Below are 15,115 nucleotides of genomic sequence, written 5' to 3'. Positions count from 1 at the left end.
CGTCATCATGTGAGCGTGAGCCTCTGGGTCTCCATCTTGCTCATGCCCCTCATGACTACATGACTCCTCGGAATGCAAGGGGCAGTGTGGTGTTGCCAGTGAGCTGCTTCTTGTTTCCTACCAGGAATCACACATCGCATCCGTGTGAGTACAAGAAAGACCCAAATACCCATCCACTGCCTGCTGATCTGGAGGCGGAGAGAGGACGGCCCCAGAGACCATCCACCCTCCCCATTCACCCATGGTCCACACAGTGATGGGAAACCACATTCCAAAATCAACACTTTTCCAAAACAGTGGGCAGAAAAAGCTGGTGGCATGGCCACTCCGGACGCACATCTCAGAGGGTTTGCTGCTGGCGCTTCAGGGTCCACTGTGCTAGTATTTTTTTTTTTTTTTTTTTTGAGAGACTTGCTGTGTTGCCGAGCTGGAGTGCAGTGGTGCGATCTTGGCTCACTGCAACCTCTGCCTCCTGGGTTAAAGCGATTCTCCTGCCTCAGCCTCCCGAGTAGCTGGGATTACAGGCGCCCACCACCACACCCAGCTAATTTTTGTGTTTTTAGTAGAGACGGGGTTTCACCATGTTGGCCAGGATGGTCTCAGCATCTTGACCTCGTGATCCGCCCTTCTCAGCCTCCCAAAGTGCTGGGATTACAGGCGTGAGCCACCGCACCCGGCCAGTGTATTTTTTAAGGAAGCAGGAGAAAACAAAATCTGAAAAATATAAACACTTTTATTTTAAACACACACTCCTTCACCATTGAATGTGTTTTTAAGATCAACCTATTTAAACTTTCAATTTAAAAATGGTCGTCTGTTAGAGGGTAGGAGACTTGGCTTAGAAAGCATTTGATTAAAACATGCAGATCTCCATTCTCAGCTTGGTCTTCTGAATTTTGTTAATAAAATTATTTCCATGGAAGTGAACCTCATTCTACTTTTTTTAGTCAGGTTATTTAATGCTTGTTTTCATAATTGTTTTCAACAGAGATACACAAACTGACTTTTAAAAAAATACTGTGCCTTCAGGTGAAAGCTTATATAATTGAGCAGAGTTTGCCAACATTTTGGAACTTTTTTGACAAAATAATTCCCACATAAATATAACTTTCCTTGGTTCTGTTGGCTGAGACCCTAAGTCATTTCTGGCGTATTTTAAAAATCCAGACTCCTCAGCGGGCACCGCTGCAAACAGACCTGCCTCTAAGGCTGATAACGTGAAGGTGTCGTTTTCAACACAAAAGGCTCTGCACAGAGGTTTTTTCTTCTGAGCGGGTGGTTATTTGAGTAACACGTCCTCTTGTCAATCTTTAGGAAAACGGGTGTTGCCCGCAGCGAGGTGGGCGGAGGCACAAGTGAGCTGGGCCCGGAAGAGGCTGTTTTGTTCAGTGGTAGGGCAGGCGCGGGAGCGCTGAGGCTTTGTGCCAAAGAGAAACAGAAAAGAAAGTTTGCCATGTGAGCGTCTCACATCACTGTCTGCCAAATTCCGCATGTGAGAGAAGGCTGGAAGGACCACACTGTTACAGGAGAGGCTCTTTGCCTCCACACGGCCTGATTGCTCAGGGGTTTTGTTAGGGTTTCAAATGTGGAGAGCAGAAAACACTCAGGCACCTAGAGCTGGGCGGTCTCTGCAGAGCAGGGACACAAGGTGCCCTTGGCGGGTGTGCCCTGGCCAGTCCCTCCCTCGGGATATGGACAATCTCCATCTCCCATACTGGATCCTTCACCCTTTCTTACAGCGGATAGGGACGCTGGACTGAGGCAGGTTCTGTGCCCGGAACCTCAGTGATGGCAAAGTCGCTGTTCCATGCACCAGGAGATGACAGGGAGGGGCCTCCGTAGGTTGGGTTTCAGAGACTTTCCATCAGACTATATTTGTATTAAAGAAAGCGCATTTTTATTCATGAGCCATATTTGTATGAATGTTCAAATGCCTGTTATGATTATTTTGAGAAGTTAAGGGATAATTTAGATTCTCTGCTGATATTCTTGTTATTATTTAAACAGTGCATTTGCTGATTAAGCATTAACCGCCACTCTATAGGAGGCAGGAACCCAAACAGCCTCGTTAAGGGACTGATAAAATGCACCCTCGTTAGAGAACCCTTTTTGGGGGTTGGTAATTATCACAGATATTTATTAGGCAGAAAGGCACAGGAGCGGCTGGAGGCTGGGTGAGTCCGGTGTGCGGGGCCATGGGACAGAAGGCCCAGCAGGCTCTGCACGGTACCTCCCTCGCCGCCTTTTGTTCGACAGCCCGCCCATTCCGCTGCTTTTCTCTTCCACCCTTCACCCCAGCAAGAACTCGCTTTGCTTTGGGTAAACCAAGAATAGGGAAGATCTGAAAAATCCTAATGTGCAAAGCATATTTCAGAGATGACCATTCGTTCTCCCACATGAAGATTGTATTTTACACATTGATGTGGCACAGCATTCCTGATCCTGCATGAATTTAAAGTTGGTTTCTCCCGTCAACTCTACCGTGGCCGCTTGTGGTGTGAAGAAGCTTCCGCCTCCATGCCCCAGCCTGCACCTGCCCTGCAGGACTCCCAGGAACCTGGAATCCCAGGCTATTCTACACCTTTTGTCTGTCAAGGAATTGGAGGGTCCAGGACCCACCCCCTGGCCTCAAAACAGACTCATATTGTGGGGAGCTGAATAAGTTAGTCTGTGGATGGTTTGAGAAAGGAGAATTCTGGATTTGGTGGATGTGAGATGGTGCAGGACTGTCTGTGCTTCTTTCTCACAGCTTCCTTGTGGAATATGTAGTCTGTGGTGCACACACCAGGCCCCGGGAGACCTGGGATCCCTTATGCGAGCGTGAGGCACCCCACGTCGGAAATTCGGATACCTGGGATCCCTTACACGAGCCTGAGGCACCCCACGTCGGAAATGGAAATTCGGAGACCTGGGATCCCTTACGCGAGCCTGAGGCACCCACGTCGGAAATTCGGAGACCTGGGATCCCTTACGCGAGCCTGAGGCACCCCATGTCGGAAATTTGGAGACCTGGGATCCCTTATGTGAGCCTGAGGCTCCGCACTTCGGAAATTTGGAATCTGACCACATCATGTTTCTCCCCAGTTCCTCAAAGGCCTGGAAATGCTGGTGTTGGGTGGAGAGGGGATAACCTGAGCTCTGTTTGTTATGAATGTTCTCTTTTCCTCCCATAAAAGATTTTCAAGCAAATTTTATCTGGCAATTTATTTAAACCAAAAGCATATGAGTAGAAAGTGGTTTAAACTGAAATAAAAAACGTGTAAGATGCTCCAATCCTTGGAAGACCATCCCTGAGGGACGGGGAGCCTGGCTATCTCATGTCGTCCCCAGGACACGGCACACACGGGCCCCAGCTGCCATCAGGGCCAGCGGTGAAGGGTCTGTGCCGTCTTCCCCTCCTCCATGGTGATCGAACCCTAAGTTTAGCTAAAATAACACGTTTGGCCTCCCCTGTGCTTAGATGTGGTCACTGAGTGAGACCTGGCCATGAGCTGTGGCTGTACAGTACTCTGGGCAGAAAGGCTTCTTGATGGGAAATGACGGCCACCTGGATAGTGGATCCTAGGCTGATGTGGTTCCCGTAAATGTCCCTGGCCAGGATGCGGGACCCAGACTGCCCATTTAGATGGGTTTTGTGTGGGAGGGAAGAAAAGCCTCAGGTGTTCACACCAACCTTGTCAGAAGTTTTCTGTTATATGCAGCTGAATTTAGTCCTAAACAGCACATCTTGTCAGAACCCAGGGGTTGGCCCAGGCTGGTCACTCTGAGTGGCGTGGGGCTGCAGCAGCATCTCGGGAAGGGTACAAGCAGTCAGAGGAACGGTGGCTCAGGGACCTGGGAGACCTTCTGCTGAGCTTCCTTGCTGAGGTGTGACCCTGAGAGGACGCACACCCACATGAGCCTCGGCCCCGTAGTGTCTGACATGAATCGCAACTTCCGGATGGCCCCAGCTCACACACTGGGAATGACGGTGGCCTCATGCTGCCTCCTCCATCCCAGCCTGGGGGAGAAAGGCACCGCGAACTCCAGCTTTCTGCCTCTTCGGTGGGAACAGTGGGTGTCCTCTTGCTGTGTTAAATTTGATCTGAGCTGAGGGAAACCCGAAGAATCAGCTCCATCACCCTGGAGACCAGCGTCAGCCCGGCCGGTGGGAACTGAGAAGGACCTGGGTGTAGAGGTGCTGGGGTCCTGGACGCCAGCCACGCTGGGACCGAGGGGCTCCGCAGACGTCATCCCAAGACCCGCTATTGGTTCAGAGCTTGTGGATCAGGACCAGAGCCAGTCCTCTCACTGGGGCAGTGAGAGCCTGACATATGTCCAGAAGGCAGCCCCTGTGATCCTCCCAGGGTGGCAGCGGCCAAGTGAGTGGTCCAGGGCACACCGTGGTGCACACGGGGCTTCCCTGGGTCTGGGACTGCAGAGGCGTCGGGGCTGCTGGCTGCACCACTATAGCCGTGGGCTCACTGCAGGGTGCGGGCCACCATTCAGGACAAGCGTTCCTGTGGACGACCTGCCAGAGGTGGCAGCCTGCGGACAGGGGCCCCACTCACTTCAGCTCTGGCTTACAGAACCTTCATGGGATCCCGCGGAAGCCGTCATTTCTGTCAGGTGGGGCCCCATTCACTCCTGGCAAGCTCTGTGGCTTCATTGACTGGTGGGAGCATTTTGTTGCCTGTAAAGCCAGGAACTGTTGCCCATCTCACAGCAGTGGTGCAAATCAAACGGAATGAGAGAGGGCTCCGTAAATATCGGGCACACATGACAGAGTGAGAGAGGGCTCTGTAAACATTGGGCACGCATGATGCAGTGAGAGAGGGCTCTGTAAACATCAGGCACACATGATGTAATGAGAGAGGGCTCTGTAAACATTGGGCACATATGATGTAATGAAAGAGGGCTCTGTAAACATCTGTAAACATACTGCACCCATGAGGGAGTGAGAGAGGGCTCTGTAAACATCAGGCACACACGATGTAATGAGAGAGGGCTCTGTAAACATCAGGCACACATGATGTAATGAAAGAGGGCTCTATAAACATCTGTAAACATACGGCACCCATGAGGGAGTGAGAGAGGGCTCTGTAAACATCAGGCACACACGATGTAATGAGAGAGGGCTCTGTAAACATCAGGCACACATGATGTAATGAAAGAGGGCTCTGTAAACATCTGTAAACATACGGCACCCATGAGGGAGTGAGAGAGGGCTCTGTAAACATCAGGCACACACGATGTAATGAGAGAGGGCTCTGTAAACATCAGGCACACATGATGTAATGAAAGAGGGCTCTGTAAACATCGGGCATACATGATGGAGTGAGAGAGGGCTCTGTAGACATCGGGCACACATGATGTAATGAGAGAGGGCTCTGTAAACATCGGGCACACATGATGTAATGAGAGAGGGCTCTGTAGACATCGGGCACACATGATGGAGTGAGAGAGGGCTCTGTAGACATCGGGCACGCATGATGGAGTGAGAGAGGGCTCTGTAGACATCGGGCACGCATGATGGAGTGAGAGAGGGCTCTGTAGACATTGGGCACACATGATGGAGTGAGAGAGCGCTCTGTAAACATCTGTAAACATCCGGCATGCATGACAGAGTGAGAGAGGGCTCTGTAGACATTGGGCACACATGATGGAGTGAGAGAGGGCTCTGTAGACATCGGGCACGCATGATGGAGTGAGAGAGGGCTCTGTAGACATCGGGCACGCATGATGGAGTGAGAGAGGGCTCTGTAGACATCGGGCACGCATGATGGAGTGAGAGAGGGCTCTGTAGACATCGGGCACGCATGATGGAGTGAGAGAGGGCTTTGTAGACATCAGGCACACCTGATGGAGTGAGAGAGGGCTCTGTAAACATTGGGCACACGTGATAGAGTCAGAGAGGGCTCTGTAAACATCGGGCACAGAAGATGTAATGAGAGAGGGCTCTGTAAACATCGGCCACACATGATGTAGTGAGGGAGGGCTCTGTAAACATTGGCCACATATGAAGGAGTGAGAGAGGGCTCTGTAAACATCGGGCACACATGATGGAGTCAGAGAGGGCTCTGTAAACATCGGGCACACGTGATGGAGTGAGAGAGGGCTCTGTCGACATCGGGCACGCATGATGGAGTGAGAGAGGGCTCTGTAGACATCGGGCACACATGATGGAGTCAGAGAGGGCTCTGTAAACATCGGGCACAGAAGATGTAATGAGAGAGGGCTCTGTAAACATCGGCCACACATGATGTAGTGAGGGAGGGCTCTGTAAACATTGGCCACACATGAAGGAGTGAGAGAGGGCTCTGTAAACATTGGGCACACATGAAGGAGTGAGAGAGGGCTCTGTAAACATCAGGCACACATGATGGAGTCAGAGAGGGCTCTGTAAACATCGGGCACACGTGATGGAGTGAGAGAGGGCTCTGTCGACATCGGGCACGCATGATGGAGTGAGAGAGGGCTCTGTAGATATCGGGCACGCATGATGGAGTGAGAGAGGGCTCTGTAGACATCGGGCACGCATGATGGAGTGAGAGAGGGCTCTGTAGATATCGGGCACGCATGATGGAGTGAGAGAGGGCTCTGTAGACATCGGGCACGCATGATGGAGCGAGAGAGGTCTCTGTAAACATCAGACACACCTGCAGCACAGGGATGATGATCCATGACACGATTTTCTCTCAGACAGCAGCAGGCAGGGTGTTGGGGCAGCGCACTCAGGGCAGTGACAAACTGGTGCCTGTTCCCCCTCCGTTCCGGCCCCAAAATTGTGGGGACGCCCCACAGCAGCTTAGTATCACCCAGGGGAGGGGAAAGGGTGTTTCTCGGTGGTTGGTTCAGAGCTTTGCATTTTTAGAGCGTCATTTCCTGGAGGCCTGAGAGATTTCATAATGATACCGAGTTCTCTCAATACGTCTCTGAAGGAGAAACGGACTGTTCTTAGGTTCATAGAATCAAGCAGCTCTTGGTTTTCCAGATGGGTTTTTTTACCTCTTTAATTTCCTAGGATGCAAACGTACATCACACCTTGGCCAGTTTTCAGAAGACTTGTTTTGGTGACTCCCACCCCCGCTTTTCTTCCTAGAATATTGGCGGCTCATCTTCATTGCCTGGCTGGACGCAGACCCAGCCCTTTCATCTGACAGAGGTGCCGTGAATCTCGCTTCCTGGCGGGTGGCTCACCCCCACCTTTTCCCACTTTTTAATAGTGTTTCTTGAAGCACAGAAGCTGCTTCACTTGATTTGATCAAATTTTACCACTCCCTTCCTCCGTAGTTTGTGTTGTTTGAGGAAAGGATTTGAGGAAACTGTTTTCTGCCCTGAGTTCAGAGAGGCTCAAATGTTTTCTTCAAAACATTTACAGGTTTTTTCCCCCCATTTAGGCTTTAATCTGCCTGGGGTTAATTTTTGTGTTTTGTGGAGAGCCGGGATCCACTTCTGTCTTCCGTCCCTCCCCATGGCCCCACGTTGCTTGTCCTTCCTCTGCCCATGGCCCTGCTGTGTCCTTGCTGCCGTCCCCGTCTCTGTGAGTCATGAGCACAGGGACCTCTCTGGGGCCTCAGCTCCATGTTGGTTTCTTTCCTGTGCACCCACCTGCCCCGCGGGGAGGTTCTGTGCCGCACAGTGGGTTACCGCATCTGCAAGTGGCTCCTCCATGCAATGCTCCTTAACATTGCCTGGGCTGTTCTTGGCCCTGTGTGGCCGGGAACGTGGTGAGTTAGGCTGCATGGTTCACCGGGATGTGGCCGGGAACATGCTGAGTTAGGCTGCGTGGTTCACCAGGGTGTGGTCGGGAACATGGTGAGTTAGGCTGTGTGGTTCACTGGGGTATGGCCGGGAACATGGTGAGTTAGGCCAGTAACCTGGTGAGTTAGGCTGCGTGATTCACTGTGGCGTGGCCGGGAACATGGTGAGTTAGGCTGCGTGATTCACCAGGGAAAAGAGGGCGGATCACTCTGTGTATGTCCTCTGGGTGGTGCAGGGAGGACAGAAAGGCCATCGAGTATCTGCCATGCATTTTTTTCCTACAGCTGGCTAAGGGTGCTAGTGTATTCATTACATTAGCCTGTGTATCTTTTTCTAGGAATAAAATAGTCCATTTGAAAAACAACAAAGGCAGCCATCCAAGTTGCTCTCTGCCCGTCGTGGACCAACGTGAGGTCAGGGCTGCGTCCCTGTGACCTTGTGCTCACCTCTCCCTTTGTCTATCTCTACACCAAGGGCAAACCCTGGAAGATAAGGCAGGTGTCACCAGGTGGATCCCAACCGATCTGTAGGGTTTGCTGGAAAACCAGTGTCCAGGGCTCCAGGGCATCTTCCCACAGGCCAGAATAAGAAAAACGCCCCTGAAATAACAAAACAAAAGAGACAAAGGCCGTCACAGTGCACGGACACGAGCACCCGGAGGCTCACAGGACTCTGCGGTAGACAGAACACCACAGATGCTAACATACTGCTATCTCGTCAGATGCAGGCAGCGCCCAGCTCACCCCTGCGGAGCCGCTGACCTGCACCAGTCCTGAGAACTCAGTGCCGGGTACGTTGCCGGGAACACAGAGCAACTTAGGACGTGAACAAGCCTCTCGTACTAGAAGTGGAGGAGTAATAATGCTTTCTTCATCTCCAGCAGTGTGCCCTCATCACCACCCTGGGGTCGTGCTGTGGAAGGCCTTCTCTTTCTAGAGCATTGCTTCAGGACCCCAGGCTGGTCACGCTGGGCTCCTGTCCCCGTGTCAGCCTCACCCTCTCCTCCTGGCCCTCACCTGGCAGTTTCCTCAGTGGCTTTGGGTCGTTCCTCTGCCCCAGATGTCCGGTTTCTTCCTCGAATTTCAGCTCTAGTGTTCTTTCTTCTCCCCACTGTCCTCCATCTCCCACATGCCAGTGGCCTCGCTAGCTGTGCCCAGGCCTTCAGCTGCCTGGAGGGTGCAGGCTGGGGATGGGGCTGGGGCCTGGACGGCTTCTACAGAGAAGTGGGAATGTAGAATCTCCTTCAGAGAGTGTGTGGCCGTCTCACCACCCGCCAAGGCCAGTCCCTCCTGTTCCCTTTCCTGCAGAGACACGTGCTGCACACCACCTCCTGTGTGTGGGGCTTGCACACTCCTATGTTCAAAAGGCCTGCGTTCCACACCCATGACGTGGAGGGGCCTGCATTCCACACCCACGATGTGGAGGGGCCTGCGTTCCACATCCACGACGTGGAGGGGCCTGCGTTCCACACCGATGACGTGGAGGGGCCTGCGCCGCCCCCTCCTCCGTGCAGGGGGTCAGAGTCTTTCTCTGCACCTTTCCTCTCCGTGGAAGAGCTCCCGGTGCCTGCAGTGGGGTGGCACTGGTGACGGCACCACATCGAAAGGACCCCAATGTGGAGCCCTGTTTGCTCCAGTTGTCTGGAAGGAATGCCATGCAGCCCCGACCTGTTCCTCCTCCCCTTTCTATCAGCAAATTAACATCCCACGCATTAAGCCTTGGTCCTGGAATAATCAGCACAGAGCAGAGGTTTCCTTCGAAACTGCGAGTGTGAATCATAGAACCGTAAGTATCATGATATTGTGTGGCACGCTGGAAAGAAAGCAAGAGAGTTGCGTAGGTTAATGTGTGTTCCCAAATTTTTTTCCGACACCTGCACTCAATGAGCGGCTCTGGGCCTTCTGTGTTTTTCTGCACCAGCCGTCTCTCCACCTGCCCTCCCCCAGGGAATCCCGACAGTCAGTGGCCAGGGAAGTTGGGTCTGGAAGGAGGGGACCTCTTGACTTCTCCAGGGGAGGCTCAGAGGCACAGTCCTTTGCTGAGGAGCTCCAGGTGGAGGAAGGCAGAGAACGCACAGCCAGGCAGTGGGCATGGACTGAAACCAGCCCATAAACCCCCACGCCGGCCCCCCTACCACCACAATTAATTCATTAATGCTGGAAACCACCATTGCATTGTTTTCTTGTAATTATACACACCTCAAATGCTTGCTTTTGAAGACATTAATTGCATGATTAGTTTTATGATTTCTGATTACCAATTAGGTTACCTTTTTGTGTATTTCATACATACCATTAGGCTTTATGGTACAGCTTTTGTAATTTCTCACCTAGCAGGGGTTCTCACACATTTGAAGGCTACATTATCCACTCAATAAACAGAGAGAGTTTAATTTTCTGTGTAAAGTATTGGTGTGGACTTGGGAAGATGATGTTTCAGATATTATGCTATCAAGAGTGACATTTAATTTTACAGGGGAAAAGTCGTGGTTTTCACTGTCATAACGATGTTCACAGAGCATGACTTTAGAGATGGGAGGAGGCCGGGTCCAATGGATCTGTGTCTGCGGTGTGGATTGGGCTGTCACATCCCTTCTCTGAGGAAGATATTCCTAATCACTCTACCCTTTACTCCGACTTGTTAATATATTTAATTTACTTGTGCCTTGCCTCTTTCCCAAGAATAGTTAGAAAGCATTTGGTGCTGTTGGGTTTCCTATGTGAAGTTCCTTGGAGATTCCATTCCCTCTGATCTGAAATCAAAGGGCTGGGTGTGCACTGTGGCGGAGACAGGGGCACAGGATTCTTAACGTGCCCTTGTGAGGCCAGATGAGAAAGTAATCCCAGCACTTTGGGAGGCTGAGGTGGGCGAATCACAAGGTCTGGAGTTCGAAACCAGCCTGACCGACATGGTGAAACCCCATCTCTACTAAAAATACAAAAATTAGCTGGGCATGGTGGTGCCTGCCTGTAATTCCAGCTACTCAGGAGGTTGAGGCAGGAGAATCACTTGAATACGGGAGGTGGAGGTTGCGGTGAGCCAAGATCATGCCACTGCACTCCAGCCTGGGTGACAGAGCGAGACACCGTCTCAAAAAAAAAAAAAAAAAAAAAAGTCTCCTGAATCTGCACACAAAGCGGCATTTGAGCCCCTTTTGTACCATTTGCACTTTAAATCTCCTCCCTTCCCCCAGGGAAAATAAGAGCAGATAGATCAGTAATCAAGAGATGGTCAGGTGGACGAGGCGGCTGATTGGAGCGCGCTGAAATGACCCCATAAAGCAGGAATGTGTGGGGGAGGCCTGGTTTGACCATGTGATGCAGCAGCACCGATTCACAGCCCCACGCACAAAGGGGCCAGCAAATAATGCCGTTTCTAATGTTGTGTATGGGTTGGGGACCTTCCTGTTATTTAAAATGGATGCATGGTTCCAGTGCTCTGACAGCCAGGCCTCCCCGAAAGGGAAGCCACTGGGAGGTCTAAGATACTTTCAATTGGATGTGGCTATAGAAAGAGAAAGTTCCAATTTTGATGTTGATCCTTAAAGTATTAGCTTGACAAAGCTTTGCATTATGGGGGAGAGAAAGGGAGAGGAGGGAGGAAAAAAGACACAGTCCCCGGGTACTGTATGCTGTCCTGTGGGCCCCTGCAGGCTGCAGGCCCGCAGGAAGGAAAGCGCAGAATCCAGGGTGTTCTCCTGATAACCAGAGAGGACGTCCCCAGCACCCCGAACGCTGCAATATTTTCATAAATGTAGAAAAAATAGTAGTGTTTCTCAAGCAACCTTTATTTACCCCCAGCTTTGCTTCTCTTTCTATGGAAGGCTTCCTTATTGTCCCACGTGCTCCTGAATAATGCATGAGCCTCAGAGTCCGCCAGGCCAGGAAGCACAAAGGCCCCGTGGTGGGGGCCCTTCCAGGCAGGCACCCCAGCAGCCTCGGGTAATTACTGGCCCTTAATGGGCAGTTTCCCTGCCTCAGATAGATTTGTGTGTGTGTTTAAGACTAATTTAGGGTTCCTTTGGGGGAGCTTTTCAAAATCATCACCTGCGGGTGGGGTGGGAAGGGGAGGATCCTTCACTCAAGTTTCACTTAAAGCCACGTACAATACGGTAAGTTTGAAAAACCATCAGGAAAAGGAAGGCCGACCTGTTAGTGAGCATTTGAGCTTCCCACCATGTGGGGCTCTGCACTTTAGATAATGTCCTCGTTCACAGTTTTGTCTCTTCACCGATGTTCAGCCAGTGACAGGGAGCGTGTGGGGAGTGAAGGCGGTGAAGAAGCTTTCAAGACCCCATAGCCTGTTCCAAAAACAGCCTGAATTAACTTAAAGCTGCCCTTGCTGCCATCGTGGCCAGCGCATGAACTGTTACTGCAGAAGGACTTTCACAGAACTTAAAAGTAGATCATGCAGCTCTGCGACCGCCTCTGCCCTGTGCTGGGAGCGAGTGCAGGGCGGACACGGCTGGCACTTCCAGCAGAAGGCACTGCAGAGCTCCCAGGCCAGGCAGCGGCCGTTGTGAATTGCAGGTTGCCCTGCAGACTGGACGTTGAGAGAGGAGGAGGGGGCAGGCAGGCGGTGAGGTGGTGGCTCCAGCCCCCGCCGGTGCTTCTCCCTGGGCACTGCCTGAGAGGGCGCCCAGCCCCTCACCTCTCCAAGAAGAAACACTTCTGGCTCCTGGAGGGGTCTGAGGACGGGGCTCCTCTTCAGGGGTCCTGTGGCCTGAGACCAGGAAGAAACAACCTGTCCCCCTGACTGCTGAGCAGCAGCAACCCACTGGGTGAAAACGCTGGAGGCTCTGGATGCTGCCTGGTGGCGGCTGTGAGTGATCAGGTGCCAGCGTCAGCATCGGGTCATCCACTGTCCAGAATCCAGCACCACTCCCTAAATTCCAACTTCCCCCCAACACGGGGCCTGCTCTGTGGGCTTCAGCCGGCTCGGATGTTGTCTGCAGCTCCCGTCCCGTACCCTCTCCACTCCCACACCCTGCCTGGACATGGTTACACAGTCACACACACTCCACACAGTCACACAGTCACACAGTCACACGTGGCCACACAGTCACACGCGGTCACACAGTCACACGCGGTCACACAGTCACACACAGTCACACAGTCACACACGGTCACACAGTCACACGCGGTCACACAGTCACACGCGGCCACACAGTCACACGCGGCCACACGTCACACGCGGTCACACAGTCACACGTGGCCACACAGTCACACAGTCACACGGTCACACAGTCACACGCGGCCACACAGTCACACGCGGTTACACAGTCACACACAGTCACACAGTCACACGTGGCCACACAGTCACACGCGGTCACAGTCACACACGGTCACACAGTCACACAGGGCCACACAGTCACATGTGGTAACAGTGACGGCCACACAGTCACAGTCACACAGTCACGCGGTCACACAGTCACATATGGCCACACAATCACACATAGTTACACAGTCACACACACTCCATGTGGTCACACAGTCACACACAGTCACACAGTCACACACAGTCACACACGGCCACACAGTCAAATGTGGTCACACAGTCACACGTGGCCACACAGTCACACGCAGTCACACACAGTCACACAGTCACATATGGCCACACAGTCACACATGGTTACACAGTCACACACACTCCACACGGTCACACAGTCACACACAGTCACACAGTCACACGTGGCCACACAGTCACACCTGGTCACACAGTCACATATGGCCACACAGCCACACATGGTTACATAGTCACGCACACAGCCACACACACTTCACACAGCCACACAGTCACACAGTCACACAGACATGCACTCCCACACAGTTGCACATACACATTCCACACAGCTACACAGTCACACACACTACACATAGCCACACAGTCATACACAGACACATTCCCACACAGGCCCTTGCACTCCACATAGCCACATGCTCACACAGTCACACACACAATCTCTCACACACACACAGACACACAGAGTAATACAAAGTCACACACACAGACAGACACATAGACACAGCCACACATGCACATTCACATACACTCCCACACAGTCACACAACCACACACACAGCCAGACACACACACAGTCTCTCTCACAAACACAAACACACGCCACACACACTCCACCACATACACACTCCCACACAGCCACACAGACACACACAGTCATACACTCACATGCAGCCACACATATGGACACAGTGACACACTGACAGTGATGAACATGCACTCACAGTCATGCACATACATTCAAACACACTCAGATACACATACGACTATACATGCTTCAGTCAACTCACACAGTCAGATACCAATTCAGTAAAGAACAATTACGTGTTAATCTGTCTTGTGCCAAATATAAGTCATTGGCTTTTAGAGGATGGAATCAGAGGCAACTTCACGAAGACAAGAACACTGTAGCCACCCCAGGGAAGACGAGAGGAACTGGAGTAGCCACGGCGGAGAGGAGCTTTCTCCCGTGCCATCCACTACGAGAGGAACTGGAGTAGCCACGGTGGAGAGGAGCTTTCTCCCATGCCATCCACTACGAGAGGAACTGGAGTAGCCACAGTGGAGAGGAGCTTTCTCCCGTGCCATCCACTACGAGAGGAACTGGAGTAGCCACGGCGGAGAGGAGCTTTCTCCCGTGCCATCCACTACGAGAGGAACTGGAGTAGCCACGGCGGAGAGGAGCTTTCTCCCGTGCCATCCACTACGAGAGGAACTGGAGTAGCCACGGCGGAGAGGAGCTTTCTCCCGTGCCATCCACTACGAGAGGAACTGGAGTAGCCACGGCGGAGAGGAGCTTTCTCCCGTGCCATCCACTACGAGAGGAACTGGAGTAGCCACGGCGGAGAGGAGCTTTCTCCCGTGCCATCCACTACGAGAGGAACTGGAGTAGCCACGGTGGAGAGGAGCTTTCTCCCATGCCATCCACTATGAGAGGAACTGGAGTAGCCACGGTGGAGAGGAGCTTTCTCCCGTGCCATCCACTATGAGAGGAACTGGAGTAGCCACGGTGGAGAGGAGCTTTCTCCCGTGCCATCCACTATGAGAGGAACTGGAGTAGCCACGGTGGAGAGGAGCTTTCTCCCGTGCCATCCACTATGAGAGGAACTGGAGTAGCCACGGCAGAGAGCAGCTTTCTCCCATGCCATCCACTACGAGAGGAACTGGAGTAGGCACGGCGGAGAGGAGCTTTCTCCCATGCCATCCACTACGAGAGGAACTGGAATAGGTACGGCGGAGAGGAGCTTTCTCCCGTGCCATCCACTATGAGAGGAACTGGAGTAGGCATAGTGGAGAGGAGCTTTCTCCCGTACCATCCACTATGAGAGGAACTGGAGTAGGCATAGTGGAG

The 15,115-nt window shown here is 52.4% G+C and overlaps 1 protein-coding gene across 10 annotated transcripts in view, besides 2 other annotated features; it reads left to right on the top strand.

Annotated features, from left to right (window-relative positions):
* PTPRN2 (protein tyrosine phosphatase receptor type N2) overlaps nt 1–15,115 on the top strand; it is a 1,048,768-nt gene that overhangs the window by 734,556 nt on the left and 299,097 nt on the right. The window lies entirely within an intron of this gene.
* Nucleotides 1,175–1,375: a silencer, noted in NCBI's record as "peak6876 fragment used in MPRA reporter construct". NCBI's record gives its function as "represses an SCP1 promoter by STARR-seq MPRAs in K562 erythroleukemia cells {active_cell/tissue: K562}" and the evidence as "EXISTENCE:reporter gene assay evidence [ECO:0000049][PMID:32103011]".
* Nucleotides 7,459–8,658: an enhancer, noted in NCBI's record as "P300/CBP strongly-dependent group 1 enhancer chr7:157637302-157638501 (GRCh37/hg19 assembly coordinates)". NCBI's record gives its function as "activates an origin of replication core promoter dependent on BRD2, BRD4, P300/CBP, MED14 and CDK7 cofactors, with strong dependence on P300/CBP, by STARR-seq in HCT116 cells {active_cell/tissue: HCT116}" and the evidence as "EXISTENCE:reporter gene assay evidence [ECO:0000049][PMID:35650434]".

Source organism: Homo sapiens, chromosome 7, assembly GCF_000001405.40.
Source record: "Homo sapiens chromosome 7, GRCh38.p14 Primary Assembly".
Classification (NCBI taxonomy): domain Eukaryota; kingdom Metazoa; phylum Chordata; class Mammalia; order Primates; family Hominidae; genus Homo; species Homo sapiens.
This window is presented reverse-complemented; position numbering and strand designations above follow the sequence as displayed.